The 20262-nt window shown below is 36.8% G+C and overlaps 1 pseudogene and 1 further gene across 1 annotated transcript; one reads left to right on the forward strand and one right to left on the reverse strand.

Moving 5' to 3' along the window:
* IGK (immunoglobulin kappa locus) overlaps positions 1-20262 on the forward strand; it is a 1378008-nt gene that overhangs the window by 767305 nt on the left and 590441 nt on the right.
* On the reverse strand, positions 780-13242 carry KMT2CP4 (lysine methyltransferase 2C pseudogene 4; annotated as a pseudogene). Its single transcript, NR_136329.1, has 6 exons — positions 13192-13242; positions 12876-12992; positions 7225-7326; positions 6928-7032; positions 1043-1207; positions 780-816 (listed from the first exon to the last, which is right to left on the reverse strand). The product of NR_136329.1 is annotated as a lysine methyltransferase 2C pseudogene 4 (transcript).

The raw sequence follows: 20262 nt of genomic DNA on the forward strand, positions 1-20262 counted from the left end.
GTTAGGGCAAACACAAAGGTATTCAGAAAACTGCAAATGGCAGTGCTAGCATATATGGGCTCCAGGCAATGCATCTAACTTGAAGTAGACATATATCATGGAAAGCGATGTTGAATGGTAATTGGGAAATAAAGTAAAAAGTTGTCTTGCAATGGAACAGATAATTAGTAGCCAGAGTCCCAAGAATACTGTACTACTGATAAAATAGTACTATCAATATATGTTCACTGCTTAACTTCTAAAGAGTACAACAATATACCAATGAAAGCAAGGAAACATTCTTGATTTTGAAATTCTACATAATTACGTAGGGAGGGCAGAAGGTGCTATCTAATACCTAGATATCTAGTATCTAGAGCTTTAAGAGAAAGTGGTTTAAGGAGAACAGAAAGTGTTAGATATTTTTTATAATCTATTAAAAGATTCAGAAACCCTTCATAAGAAACAGCATAGATGAAGGCAATAATTCTCCATCTAATTTCAAGGGATTCCTAAACCCTCAAAAAGGCCTAAATTAAAAATCTTCAGTCTTGGGTGGACACAGTGGCTCACGCCTATAATCATAAAACTTTGGGAGGCTGAGGCGGGCGGATCACAAGGTCAAAAGATGGAGACCATCCTGGCCAACATGGTGAAACCCTGTCTCTACTAAAAATACAAAAATTAGCTGGGCGTGGTGGCATGCACCTGTAGTCCCTGCTACTCTGGAGGCCGAGGCAAGAGAATCGCTTGAACCCAGGAGGCAGAGGTGGAGTTTGCAGTGAGCCGAGGTAGCGCCGCTGCACTCCAGCCTGGCGACAGAACAAGACTCTGTCTCTAAATTTAAAAACAAAACAAAACAAAACAAAACAAAACTTTAGTCTGGAGTTGAGAATTCAAAACAGGAAATCAATTCTGTAAGTTTCTAGGTGACCAAAAATCTACAAGGCAAAAAGCTCTGTACCTAAAACTTGTGATTAAGGAAAAGCTATTTTCCATTTTTTTTTTTTTTGCTACATTTCAAAGAGAAAAGCTTTAAAAAGATGAAAAAATAGCACAATACCTATCACATTGTCTTCATTGCAGAATAAGATCTTCTTCTCTATAGTTTCAATAGCAGACTGGACAGGAAGATAAACTTGCACAAGGAGCGCACTGTGTGTAATTGTTCTGCCATTCACATCTTAGACCTGCAGATGTCGCTCCACAGTGTCTGCATCAAACACACCTGAAATCCAAATCCCCCCGAAAAGTCTCAATTTTATTTTCTTAGTTATTCAGTTACTGTAATTCAGGAAGCTACATACGAACATAATGGGGCAAATGATTTAATGTGTATGTGAAAATTTTTCTGATTAGTGGTATCTATCATAGAATATGTGTATTATTCAATTAAATAGGTATGGCTAAAACTATTTTTAAAACTAGTTTTAAAAACTAAAGTGGTATGAGAAAGCTCTGAACTTGAAAGACTAACAAGGCAAACAAACCCTAGAGAACCATTTGCACTTCCAGCCTCCTTTGGGAACTGTCTGCAATGGAGGGTCTAGGCAGTAGGTGTGATAAATTATGTCACAATCATCACACAGCAGGAGTCTTCCTGGGTCAGTTGCCTTCCCACAGGCCTCACACACAGTGCACTCAAGACACCTCCAACCTTTGCTAAGAACCACTTTAGTGATCTGTAAAAGAAACAACCAATCCATGTGATTTATGCATTAACCTAACATAATCAAATATACTATATAAATTAATATGGTGCTTATGTACCTAGAAGCAGAAAGGGGCAATCAACTAACATTTATTGAGCACCTACGGAGGCCCAATACTGGGTTGGGCATGTTCATACACGCTTTTAGGAGCCTACTGAGCAGAATAATAGAAAATGGCACATATTTTAATGCCTTTTTAAAGTCCACATAATTACCTTATGCTGTACATTTAATGTCCACTGTATTTATAGATATAGTGACCAGATTTTAAAGAAATCAAGTAAGCTTCACTATTATTGATACATAATTTGAAAATACATCAACAAAATCTCCATCTGCATTTCCATGCTTAGAATCAATAGAAAAAATACCAAAAAATTAATGTAAAGCATGAGTTCTTAGGGACATTTTATGATCTTAGAAGATTTCTATTTAGACTATGAAGCTAGGAATTCTGAAGTTCACATTCACTCCTCTGTTTATTCTCCCCTCTCTCAAGGGTATAAGTTAGCAGAATATTTGGGAATTTCCAAATCCCTAACAAACTCCTGAAGGAAGCCACACCATGTAATATTAAGATTGCAGAACTTCTTAAAGATCTCAAAAGACTAGGATCCTCAGACAGAACCAATCAAGTGCCCATATTATAATGAAACAGCAAGTAATGAGGGTACAGAATAAAAATTCAGATCATGAGGTACATGGAAGCCTAAAAGCTACCAGAGAAGAAAATAAAAGAGTTAAATTCAAAGGAACACCCATCAGAATGGCACAAAACTTCCCAACTCCAGATGCTAGAAGAGTATAATTTTCCAATTCTACAGGAAAATACTTTTCAAAGTACAATTCTCAACCTAGCTACACAAGCAACTATGTGTGAAGACAGAATACGTTGTAGACACAGGAAGACTCAAAATTCAGCTCCTTCATTCTCCTTCTAATAAAGTTACTTAGAGATATGCGGAACAGAATGAGGATGTATTACAAAGAAAAGGAAGACTTGGGATCTATAAATCAACAGATCCGACAAAGGACATCAGGCCAGGGAAGTTTAAGGATGAGAACAACACACCCAGAAGCCACTGGCACATATCAGAGCAGGAGAAGGGAATGTCTAGAAAGAGGGTAGGACTTCTCCCAGAAAAAAACAGTACTTTAAAAAATAATCTTATATGATAGTTCTATAGTAGGCAAAAACAAAGAACGAATGGAGAGTCACTATTACTTTCTTGTTATTAAAAACTCCATGAAAGACAAAAGAAACTCATAGTATACTGTTTAGATCTGCAGTGAACATTTACTGAGTCATAACCAACACCTTATTAATTGAACTAAACATAGTAATACAACTATATTGGGAGAAGGAAGGAGGTGTATTTTAAGACCTAAATCAGAATTTATTTATTCATAGCAGAAAGTCAACAAAATCTAGCATTGATAAAGCAGCAAACCAGTTGATTATTTAGAGCTATAGCATTGACCACAAGAAAAAAGACCTGAAAAGATTAAAAGTGATTCCCTCAGATGTGGAGGTAGAGTAAGACAAGAGTTGGTTGTTCATTACAAGGCCTTTTTTTTTTTTTTTTGAGATGGAGTCTTGCTCTGTTGCCTGGGCTGGAGTGCAGTGGTGTGATCTCAGCTCACTGCAACCTCCGGCTCCCATGTTCAAATAATTCTCCTGGCTCAGCCTCCTGAGTAGCTAGGACTAGAGGAATGAGCCACCACACTTGGCTAATTTTTGTATTTTTAGTAGAGATGGGGTTTTACTGTGTTGGCCAGGCTGGCTTGAACTCCTGCCCTCAAGTGATCCACCTGCCTCGGCCTCCCAAAGTGCTGGGATGACAGGTGTGAGGCACCACACCTGGCCCATTACGAGGCTTTTAATGTCATTTGATTTTTAAACATGTATATTTATTATTTTGATTAGCTTATTGATTTTTAAGAATTTGTCTTAGATTACCAAGTTAGTATATTATTTGCCCAAATGAAGGAAATGGCCTGGGGTAAGATCAGGGTGGCTTAGAGCAGTAGCCAGCAAACATTTCCAATAAAGGGCCAGAGAGTAAACAGAAAGTTTTGAGGGCCATATGATCTGTTGCAACTTTATAAAAACTCTGCCAGTGTAATGCAAAAACCGCTACAAATATATGTAAACAAAAGAACTTGGCCATATTTCAATAAAAGTTTATTTGCAAACACAGGAAATGGGCCAGATTTAGTCTATGGGCCAGTCTGCCTGACCCTGGCTTAAACAATGACCTGAAGACAAAGTGGCAGACAGATCTGAGGTGTTTAGTGGCAGCATTTTTAAAATATTTATCTTCATTCCTACTAAGTTTTCTTCACAGATACCTGTGGTCCCTTTTACAACCAAACTCTCAAGTTTCTCCGCTTATATTCACTCTTCAAAACACTACAGTCTGGTCTCTACACCCACATCCACTCATAACTGCTTAAGCCAGGCTTGTCAATACCTTCTTATTCTCAAATCTAATGGAAACATTAGTGTTTGTGTTTCTTGACTTCTAGTACTTCAACACTTCAACAATTTCTCCATCTTTGAAATTTCCTTTTAACTTAGCTACTGGGGTTGTACTATCATTTTTTTCTTCTGTTGAACCAGTTTAGCCTTAGTTTTAAAAGTTTTTTCAAATAAGATGTCATCCAGGATTCCATCCATGGTACCATGTCCAAAGTTGTTACAGATATGTTTTATAATCTAATACGGATACATGCTTCAACGATAATGGAGTATATGGGACCAGCCTGTTTTCCCATAAGATAGTAGAAAATTGGACAAAGTGTGTGAAACAACTGTTTTCAGATATTGGACAACACATAGTAAAGGAGACAGTGGTCTCTGAGAGGAAGGAAACACTCAGGGAGTCCTATGATATTCTGCCTAGAAACATTTTCCAGAACGCTGCCCAGGGAGGGAGAACCTCAGCAGAGTACAATCAATGGCCTCGCTGAGGTTAGGGAAGGTGAGGCAGTGGAATTTGCAGGACACACTACTCAAAATGAAGAAGCAATAAGGACTAAGAGCTCCAGAAATCTACAAAGGATCCCCTGAAGTCTTTGGTGGAACACCAAGCCGTACTTCTAGAAGCCCAAAGACCCACAACCAGGGGAAAGTACATCTACTGGGAATTTGTAAGCTGCACAATTACCAGAGCTTGCAAAAGGCTCAAAGACAAGTGAAGCACAACCAGTCAGAGTACAAAGACACTGGTGAACAGGGGGTAGAATTCAGTAGTGATCCCAGAAAGGCCAAGTCTTAAGTATAGGGTTAAACTAATGCTAGGACTGCAGCTACCAAAATGTGGACTAGGGAACCCCAGTGGGTCTGTAAAGTTAAAACAAGTTTAAATAATACTAAGATTTAATTTGCCTTTTTTCACTTTAATTTATTCACAATTATACAGTGGTGTTTATAGAAGCTACATGTTGTATCATAATATTACATTGACATTGTACAGGTTGTGCTTCTGTAGTCCTGTGTTACAAAATGTTCCTAGTTTTAATTTCTAAAATGCTGAATAGTCCATAGTTAAAATCCTCATGAACAAAAACTATGGCGTCCCCAGTAATTTTAAAGAGTGTTAAGGTTCTAAAACCATAAAGTTTGAAAATATCCACCTTAGAGTGAAGGCTTTCTAGACTTGCCCCAGCAAGCTTAAAAAGAAGCTTCAAAGGTATCAAACTTATCCACAAACAATTGCCTCCTGCAATAAAAATGCAAGCTGAGCCAATTCACATATCCCTAGTATATTTCTAGATACTGCTGTATTTCTCAATGAGACTGCAGTATTATATACTGTCCGAAACAGTGTCATGTAAAAGGAACCACACATAATTTTTAAAAACAGGAATAACTAGGTGTCTGATAGTACACTAATTGTCCAATCTTAACTTATGTAAGTCGTACTCATCTGTAAAATGGGAATTCGGTAATTGTTGGATGGGTTAAAAGAAATACATTACTATCTTGGAAGGGATCTTATTCAATTTCCTTAGGTCCAAAACATTAAGCATTCTAAAAAACAAAATCTAATGATAGCAGCTACTTTTATACAGAATATAAAGTACAAAGAAGAAAAGAAACATGTTTTATGCATATATAACTCCATTTTTAATTGGCTTTATATACTCTGTGTTTTTCAGTCACATACCATGAGCAACTAATTTTAAAAAACTACATAAATTAACCGTACTAGTCTTCTATTTTGGATAGTATTAATTACAATCTTTCATTTTGATTCCTAAATTCACAAAAACCTGTATTACCCTATAAAATAAATACTAGTGTAGTTATCAACAAAGAATTCTGAAGGAGATAATGTTGATTTGCTTACTATACTGACATTTTACTGACAATGATATAACAGTGATGTCTGAAGGGCGGGGGAGAATGGTATAAAAATCACTCATGGTTCACAACCTATTATTGAAACTGAGGTTAGTATTTATATTACATGGTATGGCAATACTAGAAAAGATTTCCTTGTGGAGTATACAGTTTAAGACCTCTGCTGTACAGCTATACCTCCATGCTTGCTTCCAGTGGCCATGACACTTTATTCAAATATGTAAGTTTTATTAAGACTGAGTTCTTAAAAAGAAAAAACCAAGAACCTTAGATACAACTAGTGAAGTATTGAGACCTGTCCATATTTAAAACCAAGCACACGATACCACTTAAAAGCTTCCCCAGAAAGCCTCTATCCTGAAATGCTTGAAAGTGAGCAGTGCTGACTCTCGATTATTACCGATTGCATTAAATATGACACTTGTTTTCTTTCTTTTGGCTATAAGGAGAAAATGTCATTTTGTATATGAGTGAGCACAGAGGAGAGAGAATGTGAGAAAGAACAGAATGGGCTAATAATTTTTTACTAAATACTCCAGTTCTCAGCTTTATAAATCAACAGACAAAATGAATCAGCTAAACCTAAAATCTTTGTGAATAGTATAAATTGTCTTTTAAATTAAATGCATATATTTTTATGTTTTACTTTTTCAAGACAAAAGCAGGATATTAGTACAATATAAGATTTATAGAGGAGCAAATTTCTTGAGATAGGAAACCCTTAAAAGCAGTATTTAAAGTACTTAAATACTGTCACATATGTTTAATAATCATAATACTTAATTGTGAGAACTGGGAGCTCATGTTACTACTAAAACCAAATACAAATTCAATACATATTTGTTAACTCAGTTTAAGGATGTTTACCTTAATACTGACACAGTATGGATGGTAACACTGACCACACTGAGAACAGGCAAGTAATCTTCCTTCTGCTCCTTGGCCAAAACTGCCACAAACTACACATATATCCTGAAGTTAAGAAAACAGAACATATTTTAAATGGAGACTAAGCTAAAAACCTACAAATTTTACTTTAAAAATACCTTCTTAACTAATATAGCTCTATAGCTAAATATTGGATCACTTCTGTGTATATGAGATAAAGCAGAAATGTGCAAGGAGGAATTCAATGAGGAAGACAGTAAATTGTCAAGTTCAAACCTGATTCAAAGTGAACTTGTCACTGCTAGAAAACAACACAACCATATCGAGCACAGAGTTTTCTTCATCATCCTTATTTGATGAAATATCTGCAGTAGACACCTATAAAAAGCAAAATACACAAAATACGAAGTTATATTTTTCACTTGTTTTGCACTTAACTGGAAAGCTTCAGAAAATTCATAATCAAAACATATATTTTTGCTAAGGTCTAGAATAACAATTCCAAATATTAATGCTAAGATACTACAGCAAAATGGAGTCATGACATTTTATTATTCAACTCATTCTCTCTTTAGAGGTAGAATTCCTTTAGACCAAGAAGTAATGAGAAAATATAATAAACCTGTCTTAGTAAGACTTGATTATGCAGAATTCTAATCAAGAAACTATAAATGATAATATTATAGGTATGTACACACACAAATCTATCACTATTTTAATGACACACACTTGGGATCTGCAATGTAGTTAGTCTGAACTGAGATGTCCTGCAAACATAAAATACAGCACATAATTACATATTACATGTTGAAATGGTAATATTTTAGATATATCGGTCAAAATGGAAGGCATTAAAATTAATTTCGCCTGTTCACTATAACCTCTATTTTGTTTCGAGAGGAGTTTCACTCTTGTTGACCAGGCTGGAGTGTAATGGCGCGATCTCGGCTCGTTGCAACCTCTGCCTCCTGGTTCAAGCTGTTCTCCCTGACTCAGCCTCCCAAGTAGCTGGGATTACAGTTGTCCACCACCACGCCCAGCTAATTTCTGTATTTTTAGTAGAGACGGGGTTTCACCATATTGGTCAGGCTGGTCTCTTAACTCCTGACCTCAAATGATCCACTGCACCCAGCTCACTGTAACTTTTTAATGTGGCTACTAGGAAGTTTTAAATTGCATATGTGGTTCTCATTATATTTCTATTAGCACCGCTTTAGAATATTATTTTGAATAACATCCAAATTTCAGTATCAGCCAAATGATTATCAACCAATATTGTTCAGTCTGGACTTAGTTCTATTTGACTAAATCAACTAAGTAGCCACTGGTTTGTTAATAATTTCTAGAGTGATATGAAACAAAATAAAGCTCTGAACTAGAAGTTGTAGAAGAAGACAAGGAGGGCACTGCCAAAATCATAAAATACAATCCTCTTTCTTTAAAAAGCTTACAACCGAAGCCTGGAAAGACAGAGTTGAAACACAACAGGTTATGTTCAAGGTCAAAACATAAAACGACTGAATTACTTTTCTTGAGGAACAACTGAAAGATTAACCAGCTGGGTGTGGTGGCTCATGCCTATAATCTTAGCACTTTGGGAGGCTAAAGTGTGTGGATCGCTTGAGCTCAGGAGTTCGAGACCAGCCTGGGCAACATGGTGAAATCCTGTCTCTACCAAAAATACAAAAAACAGCCGAGCGTGGTGGCACACGCCTGTAGTCTCAGCTACTCAGGAGGCTGAGGCAGGAGAATCACTTGAACCCAGGAGGCAGAGGTTACAGTGAGCCAAGATTACGCCACTGCACTCCAGCCTGGGTGACAGAGGGAGACCCTGTCTCAAAAAAAAAAAAAAAAAAAAAAAAAAAAAAAAAGAGGAAGGAAGGAAGGTTGGTTGGTTAACTAAATAGAAGGACTATATCTCAGTATTTTTCAATACAAATACATTTAAAAGCAGGTTTTTTTTGTTTGTTTTTTTGTTTGTTTGTTTTTGAGATGGAGTCTTGCTATGTCACCCAGGCTGGAGTGCAGTGGCACAATCTCAGCTCACTGCAAGCTCTGTCTCCCAGGTTCACGGCATTCTCCTGCCTCAGCCTCCCGAGTAGCTGGGACTTACAGGCGCCTGCCACCATGCCCAGCTAATTTTTTGTATTTTTAGTAGAGATGGGGTTTCACCATGTTAGCCAGGATGGTCTCGATCTCCAGACCTCACGATCCACCCACCTCGGCCTCCCGAAGTGCTGGGATTACAGGCATGAGCCACCGTGCCCAGCCTAAAAGCAGTTTTAATGGATAGTACTAATGCTTTATAAGAGCAATTTATAGTCATATGAACCCTAATGACTACAAGTGTTAATAATGCCAATATTCATCATTAGGAAGTAAGTAAAGCCATGACAAATCCAAACATTAGAAAATTACGCAACATTTTAAAAGTAGGGAGGTAGAAACGTGTATAGACTGCCATGAAAGAAATTATCAAAAGACGTTGTTGATGAAAAAATAAATTGCAGAACAGTATTTGAGGTATAGCACTATAATATAAAAACATGCAAAGTCATTATATGTAGTCTATGGGCACATATAATAGGTTGAATCATAAGAAATTGCTGCTTTTCATCAGTTCAGAAATAATATTGGCAATTTCATATGGATCAACCTAATATATAAATATACCAAACTGGTAACAGGGAAATAAGGAGGACTGAGGAGTTAGTAATGGTAAATTCTGATCTACCTATAACGCTTTAATTTTTTTAATAGAGAAAATGTATTGATGTGTTATATGCATAGCATTAACAAAATTAGCTTTCTAAGATTTTAGAGAATCATCCAAGATGATTCACAAAAGTAGAATCATCATCACCAGTAAGAAACTAAGTGACTACTAAAAGTAATCATTAATTCAGTCATAGGACTAATGATGCATTGACAAGGCTATTGAGATATATAATTATGGAAATGGCTAAAATAGAGATAAAGTATCTATTTCTACCTCCCAACCACTAACAGAAAATTCAACACATTATACACACTGAGCAGCTCAAAGAAATTGTAAAGATCCATTATTATTTTTAAAAGGAAATTTAACCAGTGGATGCTTTCACTGAAAATGATAAACAATATATTCCCAGTATAAACCAGAAACAAAGTCTGCAGTAGAAAACTACAATGTCCCTAGATTCAAGTGGGGGTGGGGAGTCATATTTAAATAATAAGTGCAGAAAAACCAAAATATTTTAAAATAATTGTCCATGCAAGAAAGAAAACAGTATCATCTAGCTTGAAGACCCACTGTTTTTATTTTATAATTTATTTCATGACCTTTAGACTGCTAGAAAAATGAAACCTAACTTGAGGGCAAAGGTAATCTTTGAGAAAATATGTGCTATTGTTGCCTGCATAGATAATAGTGTGATTTATCCAGAAGGTGATAGAAATTTCATTTTCCTAGACCACAGATATAAGCCAAGGAGAATAGAAAGCTCTGACCTAAACTTCACAAGTGTCCCTTCCAAGCAGGGACACGTAAGAGTAAACAAAAAAAGAAGATCAAATTAAACTCAAAGTGAGAAGATAGGAAAAAATAAAGATGAGAATATAAATCAATAAAACAGAAAGGGGAAAGAAAATAGAGAAAAGTCCATAAAAACAAAGGCTGACTCAAGAAGATCAATAAGATTGATAAATCTCTAGCCAGACTGATCAGGAAAAAAATAAGACAAGATACAAATTATTAGTATCAAGAATGAGGAAGGTGAAATCACTACAGATTCTACAGGTATTAAAATAATAAGAAACATTATGATCAACTCCATTCCTTTAATTTGTCAAGATAGACAAAATGAACAAATTTCTTGAAAGGTGCAAATTTATGCAAGGAGAGACAGATAACCTAAATAGGTACCTATTAAAGAATAAAATTTGTTGTTAAAAACTGTCCCACAGGCTGGGCACCAGTGGCTCATCCCATAATCCTAGCACTTTGGGAGATGGATCACCTGAGGTCAGGAGTTCGAGACCAGCCTGGCCAACATGGCGAAACCCCATCTCTACCCAAAACACAAAAATTAGCTAGGCATGTTGGTGCATGCCAGTAATCCCAGCTACTCAGAAGGCTGAGGCAGGAGAATTGCTTGAACCTGGGAGGTGGAGGCTGTAGTGAGCAGAGATCATGCCACTGCACTCCAGCCTGGGCATGGTGGCTCACGCCTGTAATCCCAACACTTTGGGAGGCCAAGGCAGGTGGATCACATGAGGTCAGGAGTTCGAGACCAGCCTGGCCAACATGGTGAAAAACTGTCTCTACTAAAAACACACACACAAAAAAAATTAGCCAGGCATGGTGGCAGGCACATGTAATCCCAGTTACCCAGGGGGCTGAGGCAGGGGAATCACTTGAACCTGGGAGGCAGTGGTTGCTGAGCTGAGATTGTGCCATTGCACTCCAGCCTAGGCAACAAGAGCGAAACTCCATCTCAAAAGAAAGAAAGAAAAAAAAAAAGAAAACACAACAAAAACCCCCCACAAAGAAAATTTCAGGCCAAGATGGTTTCACTAATAAATTCATGTATAATATAAGAAGATACATTTCCACTACTACACAACTTTTCCAGAAAACTGAAGATAAGAATATACTTTCTGATTCATTGTATGAAGCTGGAGTTATGCTAATACCAAAACCAGATGAAGACATTACAAGAATGTAAGACTACAGGCTGGGGCATGGTGACTCACGCCTGTAATCCCAGCATTTTGGGAAGCCAAGGTGGGAAAATTGCTTGAGCTCAGAAGTTCGAGACCAGCCTGGACAACATAGTGAGATGCTGTCTCTATTAAAAATTTTAAAAAAGTAGTTGGGTGTGTTGGCACACAGCTATGGTCCCAGCTACTTGGGAGACAGAGGTGGGAGGTCAAAGCTGGAGTTAGCTATGATCGCACCACTGCACTCCAGCCAGGAATTAGAACGAGAACCTGTCTCAGAAAAAAAAAAAAAAAAAAAAGAAGAAAAAAAAGTGCACAGGTCTACAGCCGTGGTGCATCCACAGTTTTATTAATACTCAGCAAGAAAAGGAAGTACACTGTTAACAAGTACAACAGCATAGATTAATCTCCAAATAATTGTGCTGAAATAAATCAGTCCAAAAAGCACACAGTTCTGTATGATTCCACTTATATACAACTCTAGAAAATGCAAACTAATCTTGGGGACAAGGACGGATGGCAGGGGGAATGCAGAAAATTACAGAGGGACATGAAGAAACGTTGGGAGATGAATATATTCACTATCATGATTGTGGTATCGTTTTCAAGGGTGTATATGTATATATCAAAGCTTATGGAATTGTACATGTCAAATATAGCTTATATCAACTATACCTCAATAAGCCTGGTTTTAAAATTTTTCTTTTTGAAAAAAGGACGAGAATCTAAGCTTCCTTATTCCTGGTTTAGTAATAAACTTGAACAATTTCACCTGTCTCCTCTACTTAAAATGACATTTCAGAATTTTAAAAACAGGATTTTAATAAAATAGCGAAGTTATTACATAAAATGTTTGCTAGTAGTTAACAAATATATTTGTAATACACATATAAATAAAGCCTCATAACATGATAGTAAGCAAATATCAATCTTAAAATTTTTTAAATAAAAGAGCAGCTATATTACATACTGACTTTTTAGAGAGGGTTGGCATAGAAAGATAAGGAGTCAAAGAGGAAGGTAAGAAAAGAGAAACGATGAGAAAGTAAATATACAAGAAAACGTAACCAGAGGCTCAAAAAAAAAAAAAAAAAAAGCAAAGTAGGACAGTAAAATAAACATTTTGACCTATTTATATGACTTTTAAGTTCAAAATAACTTGCTATGAGATTTTCATCATTAACTAACATTTAGATTAGAGAAAATATACATGAAGCAAGCCTCACCCCAGGCAATACAACAGCTCCGATTCCACTTTTCAGCTTTGACCTGCCTCGGCCACCTCGCCCCGACAGTCCTGCACCTCGAGGTCTCCGCTTTCCTGGAAATCCAGACCCATGGCCCTATGTAACAGATTAGGAAAAGTCAACATTCTGTGACAGCCCAAAATAATTTTTAAATCCAAATGCCACTGAGATAAAACATTTTATTAAATGTTATACAAACACTTCTTTAGATAAGTATTAAGAGACCTGGCTTATTATTTTTATCTTTAAAAGTATATTCCACAACTTAAAATTCTAAATATAAAATGCTTACAACCTTAGAATCATACTTTCGGGCTGTCACTGTGAACGCTATCAGCAAGCCTTTGCATGATTTTTCTCTTTGCCACTCCTACATTCTCGGTGACGACAACAACTATAGCCTTATCCAGATATTTCGAAGTGCAACAAATTGTATTCAATATAGAGTAAGGATAAGGAAGAACTCTCTCATTAACTGGTCTCGCGGTGATTACAGTAATAGCTAACATCTATTGAGTACTTACTATGTACTAATCTAAGTATTTTTTACTCTCAACAATCCCATATAGTAGGTTTTATTATCCTCGTTTGAGATGAGTGTGCTGAGGAATAAAATGGCTAAGTAACTTGTCCAAGGTCGCTTAGCTAGCAAGCCTGGCTCCAGCGTCCCTGGGTTGGAAGCATATTCTGTACTGCTACATCAGCATGAAAGTTCATTTTTGCTAGTGTGTAACAGTATTCTTCCTGTCATTAAAATTAAGTCAGTTTCCTTCACTATTCAACAGTTCTCTTATGAACTCAACATTTCTACCTCATTCACCATTGTATTTAGAGGAAAATTTATTATTATTGTTATTACTTTTATTTTTGAGACAAGAACTTGATCCGTCACTCAGGTTGGAGTGCAGTGGTGTGATCACAGCTCACTGCAGCCTAGAACTCTTGGGCTCAAGTGATCCTCCTGCTTCTGCCTCCCAAAGTGCCAGGATTACAGGAGTAAGCCAAAGCGTCCAGCCAGGAAAAATTATGTGAGGATTACAGGAAAGCTGACAAAAGGCTTGGTGAAAGCTTTGCTTTAAATAATCTGAATAACAAATACTTGAAATGGAAATAATGTATCTGACTTCTTACACAAGAAATAAACCTATGGGAAAATGTGTTAAATTCCCTGATAATTTCAGACATTAAGTACCAGAGTATGGTGTTCCCTGCTCCCTCACCCTTGTTCGTACTAATTAATTACTCCTTGAAAAAACCTGGCACCTACCTAAGTAGATGAATTATGTATATTTAAAATTATCCAGATGCTCAGGAAAATACTTAGGTGTTTCCCTCACCATAAGTTAAATAATATGTCATATCTTCAACTGATGTCCCTTATCATAGTTTGAAATGAACTTATTCCCTATTTAGCAGAATGGTTTCCAAGTCAAAAATTTATGAGGATGCTGTAAGCATAAAATAGAAACACATGAACAAAAGGAATGGGAGGAATGGCTTTTTTCCCTTTGGATGTAATAAATACAGCCAGCTCCCAGTTTCAAACTGCCACTCCTGTCTTCTCTTACCCTGCTCTCCTTGAGATCCCTTTTGAGAAGTGCATCAGCTTCTTTGCACAACACATAGATGGGGTCAGGTTAGTTTTTTGGGTTTTTTGTTTGTTTGTTTGTTTGTTTGTTTGTTTTTGAGATGGAGTCTCACTTCTTTGCCCTGGCTGGAGTGCAATGGGGTGATCTTGGCTCACTGCAACCTCCATCTCCTGGGTTCAAGCAATTCTCCTGCCTCAGCCTCCCTAGCAGCTGGGATTACAGGCACATGCCACCACACACGGCTAAATCTCTTTGTATTTTTAGTAGAGACGGGGTTTCACCACGTTGGCCAGGTTGGCCTCGAACTCCTGACCTCCAGTGATCTGCCCCCTCAGCCTCCCAAAGTGCTGGGATATCAGGCGTGAGCCACTGCGCCTGGCCAAGTTTGTTTTGTTATTAAATTGGTATAAAAGATTTTTGAAAAATTAAGTCAGTGATTAAAAATCAAGACTACAGTAATCTCTCAATTTATTTTCTCAAACATGAAATGCTGACCCAGAAAAAAGGTAAGTAAAAATTGGTGGTCTATATTACCAAACTGTCAAATGAGGTATATTTATACCTCAATATCTTGGATGATATCAGGGGGAGGTAGGGAGGTTAAAAAATAATAGTTCTTCCAGTCATGAAAGAAAATAAAGTATAATCTAGAATTCCTTAAAATCCTTGATTAGTCTGAATTAAACAGCCATATTCCAGAATATTAAATATAGAATATGAAGAAAAACTGTCATCTCCAGTCAATGAAGTATTTTAACTTTTGAGTTAATACTTTTTCAAATTAATTTTTTTCTCTTCAAAATGCATCACACTACTTAACTCACTTCAAGGACTGGCACAGCCATCAACCAATGTCATGGGGGAAAAAGCCTTGTCATTTTAAGGTATTAAACAGACAATGAAATCTGCCACAATTTTGGTATTTCTTCTCCATAAGAACATAATAAATTAATGGAGTTTTTTCTTTTGCTTTTTTCTAAGCAACAAAGTTTTATGATATCATGAATGAAAAGGTCCTTAATTACCTTTTGGTCTACATGTCAAGGACTTCTCCCTCATAAAACCGGTAGTAATCACAACAAAAGGAATTAACCATAAAAAGAGCTATTAAAAATGTATACTTGATTTTTAAATGCAAGCATATTATTTCTTTACATTAAAATTTTTAGATTTAAAAAGTGTTTCTGGAAGCTCAATCTAGAAAAGAAAGATTTAATTCTTTACACCCAGTAGGGAAAAACAAATCAGACAGAAATGATATATGAATGTAAATGCAATTTTATTTACCACTTTGATGCTCCAAATGGCACTGCCAGGAAGCTGCCTGGGTTTAAAAATTTCCCGACCTCCTGAAATGTCTGGGGACCAGGAAGGTGGGCTCACTGTATTATGGGTACTCCAAGCCTCCTAGGATATGGCAGTTGAGAAAATAGATGTGTAAAACTCAGCAACATAAAAGGTCAAAGCCAGCAACTAAGGAATTTTAGAACAGCAAAAACAAATGCAAACATATGGAAATTTAGGACAAATTGCTTCAAGGAAGGCAAAATAAGCTAATCACTAACAGTGATTTAAACATTTAAGTATAACAAATAACTTAAATGTTTGCTGCTACAGAGACATCACTACAATGAAACATTAAACATTAAGGTTTATATGACATCAACATTGACTCATGAACTGCAATTACTGCACCAAAAAGTAAATAAAAGTCAATCACACTTTAAGAATTAACACTAGAAGAAAGTATTGGGGGGTTATTTTACTTCTAACAACTATCACTCTACTTAAAAGGAGAAATGGATAACCATAAGGAATTCTATATTCTATAGCTATAAACAACCAAAATCAGTAGGCCAAAGAATGCAATGAGAAACATAAGCAATCGATAAATGCATAAACTTTACACTGTAGAGAGCTGGTAACATTAAAATGCAAATACCATTATAATCTTAGCATTTAATCACTCTTTCTTCAGTGACCATTAGTTGTCGGTTTGGTTTCGGTTTTTACTTAGGGAAATGAATACTTTATGGAAATTACATCCAATGGACAAAAGTGAAGAAACGTTAAAGCAAATTGTCCTAAATTTGCAAATTAAAATGCCTAAAGTACCTGATAAATTATATAGAAAGTAGTATCTTATTAAAATCTATATAACTAATACTAAAGCATTTTACTTCCAAACAACCACATTCAGCAATACCCTGAACTAATCTGAAGATGCTAAACAGCATAAAGAAAAATGTTTACTCCACAAAGATAACATTTTAAAGAAAAACAAGACAAATGTCAAACAATAAAAGAATATATTTTGAATTAGGTAATTTAATGGTGCATGCATAATTTTACCAATCAAGTAACCAAAACTTAAGACAAGGTACATAGTACTTACCAGGTTTCTAGAATATCATCAAATTAACAAGTACTATCTCATTAATCACATAAAAATACCACCAGGAATTAAAATAACCAGAAATAAGAATGTGACTACTCTTGGGGTAAGAGATAGGTAATGGAATAACAGTATTTTGGAAAAGCCACACAAGCAACAGACTGGTTTCATTTTTAAGTCACAAACTCAACCCACACACATTGAAGTCCAGCAATCCAACTCATTCTCTCCAGCAAACACTTTATTTTTTTCCCCCTCCAGGATTACCCTCAGGTGTTCTTTCTTACCCATCAAATCTCTAACCTAGCTCAGGTAATCACTATGCTGATTTCACTGAGCAGCAACCACTGCAGGTCAATTACCTCACTTTCATAATTTCAAATCAACTTGAATCTGTACCTATGTCTTCTTCCCTACTATTAGTAGGGAAGTGTTGTCAAAAGCCATTTCTCCTTTCTCATTTTACTCATGCTCCTAACATCTGGCATACTGTTCTGCTGGATTTGGCAGCAGCCCACCTGTGGATATTTCACTGACTTCCTCGCTAATCTTTCTTCATCTCCTGTACGTGTTCTTCCTCTATTTGACTTCCAAAGCCCTGGAGTTTCCCAGGGCTTGAGCCTAGATCCTAAATGGTGTTATCTACAATGAGGGCATCTTGGAAGTTGATGCTTCCCACATTCTTATTTCTAGTTTTAATCAAAGATCTCCAAATTAGCAGGATTTTCAACTTCCTTCTTAGCATTTCCATTTTCTCACATAAAACCCCTCTTAATTTTGCCATGTTTAAAATTTCTCCCTTAACCGGTTTCATCCCAGTCTTCCCCATCCTTATAAATGGCATCCAGTCCCTTGTCACTCTCCTCTGCTCCTTCAGTCCTCTCCCCCAACACCTCGTCAATGCAAATCATCAGCAAATTCAAGACTTTTTATCTTCAAGTTTTGTCTCCGATCCTTCTACTTCTTGTCACTTCCACCACTAGCAGCCCACTCGTGGCCACCACCATCTCTCACCTAACCTGCTACAAGAGTCTACTGCTGGTTATGCTTCTCCCACCCTGCGTCTACTCAAGCCTTTCCCCACAGCAGCCAGAGGAACTTTTCAAAAGTACAAATGTGATCAAGCAAGTCACTATTCTATTTCAAATCTTCAATTGCTTCTCAGAGCACTTAAAAGACAAACCTTTCCCAGTGCCTTTCTCCAGCTCATCTTGTGGCACTTGTCTCCCTGCTGCTATGCTCCAGCTATTCTGGCTTCCTTGCTGTCCTTCAAACATGCCAAGCTCTTTATCAATCAGAGCCCAGCTGACTCAGAACACTTCACTATACCATTCCAGCCCTTCAATAAATGTCTGGCATTTTCTTTCTTTCTTTTTTTTTGAGATGGAGTCTCGCTCTGTCACCCAGGCTAGAGTGCGGTGGTGCGATCTCGGCTCACTGCAACCTCTACCTCCCAGGTTCAAGCAATTCTCTTGCCTCAAGCCTCCTGAGTAGCTGGGATTACAGGCATGCGCCACCACGCCCGGCTAATTTTTGTATTTTTAGTAGAGAAAGGTTGTCTCCAAGTTGCTCAGGCTGGTCTCCAACTCCCGACCTCAAGTGATCTGCCCACCTTAGCCTCCCAAAGTGCTGGGATTACAGGTGTGAACCACTGTGCCGGGCCAATATTATTTTTTTAAGAAAATACTAATAAAAAGGAACAATTGATATTAAATAAAATTTAACTATTGACTATAAATATATGTTTCAAGAGATTTGAGTGAAAATACCATTCTACGTTAAAATAAAAAATATAACATTCGATAAATATAGTAATAACATGTTCTCAAAGGTTCAAAGGGCTAAAGCTAATGAGAAAAAGTTAAATATAAACATCTTACAATTTACCTAATTACTTGAAATAGAAACTTATGTTCATTCCTGTATTTCTCCATTTTTCCAATTTCTAATGTCTACTTCTTTCCATTTTGTATTTTCTTGTATTGAGGCAATTTAAAGAGGATATGCCAGGTCTTCAGAAAGCCAAGAACTGAACATAAGCACTCTGGAACCTATCTGAACTTAATTTTGTCCAAGATTTTTTTAATGGTTGAAAATTGGCTCAACTGGGGATACTAAGAGGAAATATCAGGGGCAAAGGGGATTTGGGTTAAACAGATCGAACAGGATTCTTATTGAAGGCAGGCCAGACTGATCAGAAATCATCTGGAGGGCGGTGGGAGATAACAAATTTGATCAGATATCAAAGGTGATCAGTACTGAGAGTGGGGGATTCTTTGCAAGTTTCTTCCTAAACCTGAGAGATGTGGGCCAGACTAGGATGAACACTGAAGGCTGAGGCTGAGAGGTGGCTTAGAGGATCCCGACTAGAGTTTGGGCAAGGGGAGAGGCTTTGTCAATGCAAACATGCATTCAGCAATATTACCAAGTACAGATGCATGCACATAAAAATACTGAAAGGAAATATAAGAAAATGTTTAAAAATTTTTAGTGGCTTATTTATTTTATGTAATTTAAATATATGTATATATAAAATTAAGGTGTACTTTGAACACATACTAACACATTCAAAGAATTAAGTATACGTTTGATAATACATAATAGTTACAAAATAAGCAAGGTCTTCATGCAAACGAGTTTAGAATTTCCAGGGTTTATTACTTAGCATTTGATCAGCAGGCCTGTAACTTCTTCTGCTGCCCATTCATTGCCCATTTTATTAAAAATTCCTCAAGTGGATGCATTGGAATGGAAGAAACACTGACTCTTTCCTTCAAAGAAGGAAACAACAAACCTTGTTTGACAACCCTGGTCAAACAAGACAAGGGCCAAGTGGCCAGTGGTAAGGAAAGTTGGTCAAACTAATGAATGACATTTTAGATTAAAAGTGAATTTTATTTAACCCAATTATTCTTATCCTATGCACACAAATTTGAATTTAAGTTAGCTTGATGTAGATGGTCACCCCATTCCAAAGCATGGGTCCAAATACCCTAAGGTTCCAGGAGGAGCCAGCTTTCTTCAGAAGGTGGCAAGTGCATTGCAAAGTACTGAGGAAAACTTTCTTTAAAGTGTCTTTTTTCATCATTCCATATTTTGCTCCTTATAATTGCAACTGCTCTCCTTATACGTCTCTTTTGAAACTTCTCACTTGTCTAAGGTGCTATTGTTCCTCCTCATCTTTTTTTTTTTAATAGCTCAGTCTCTCTCCCTCCTTGCCATGCTGAAAAGGCTTCTGACTTGCTGTTCTTGCCAGGAAACATTTCTGCAGGGCGTATTGGAGTGGAACTACTTACAGAGTGTCAGGGCAAGTCCTTACATTTGTTTATGCTTAGGACACAACACAGAAGATAATTTTCTAAGTTAAAGATTGTATGATTTT

The sequence above is a fragment of the Homo sapiens genome, chromosome 2 (genome assembly GCF_000001405.40).
Source record: "Homo sapiens chromosome 2, GRCh38.p14 Primary Assembly".
Classification (NCBI taxonomy): domain Eukaryota; kingdom Metazoa; phylum Chordata; class Mammalia; order Primates; family Hominidae; genus Homo; species Homo sapiens.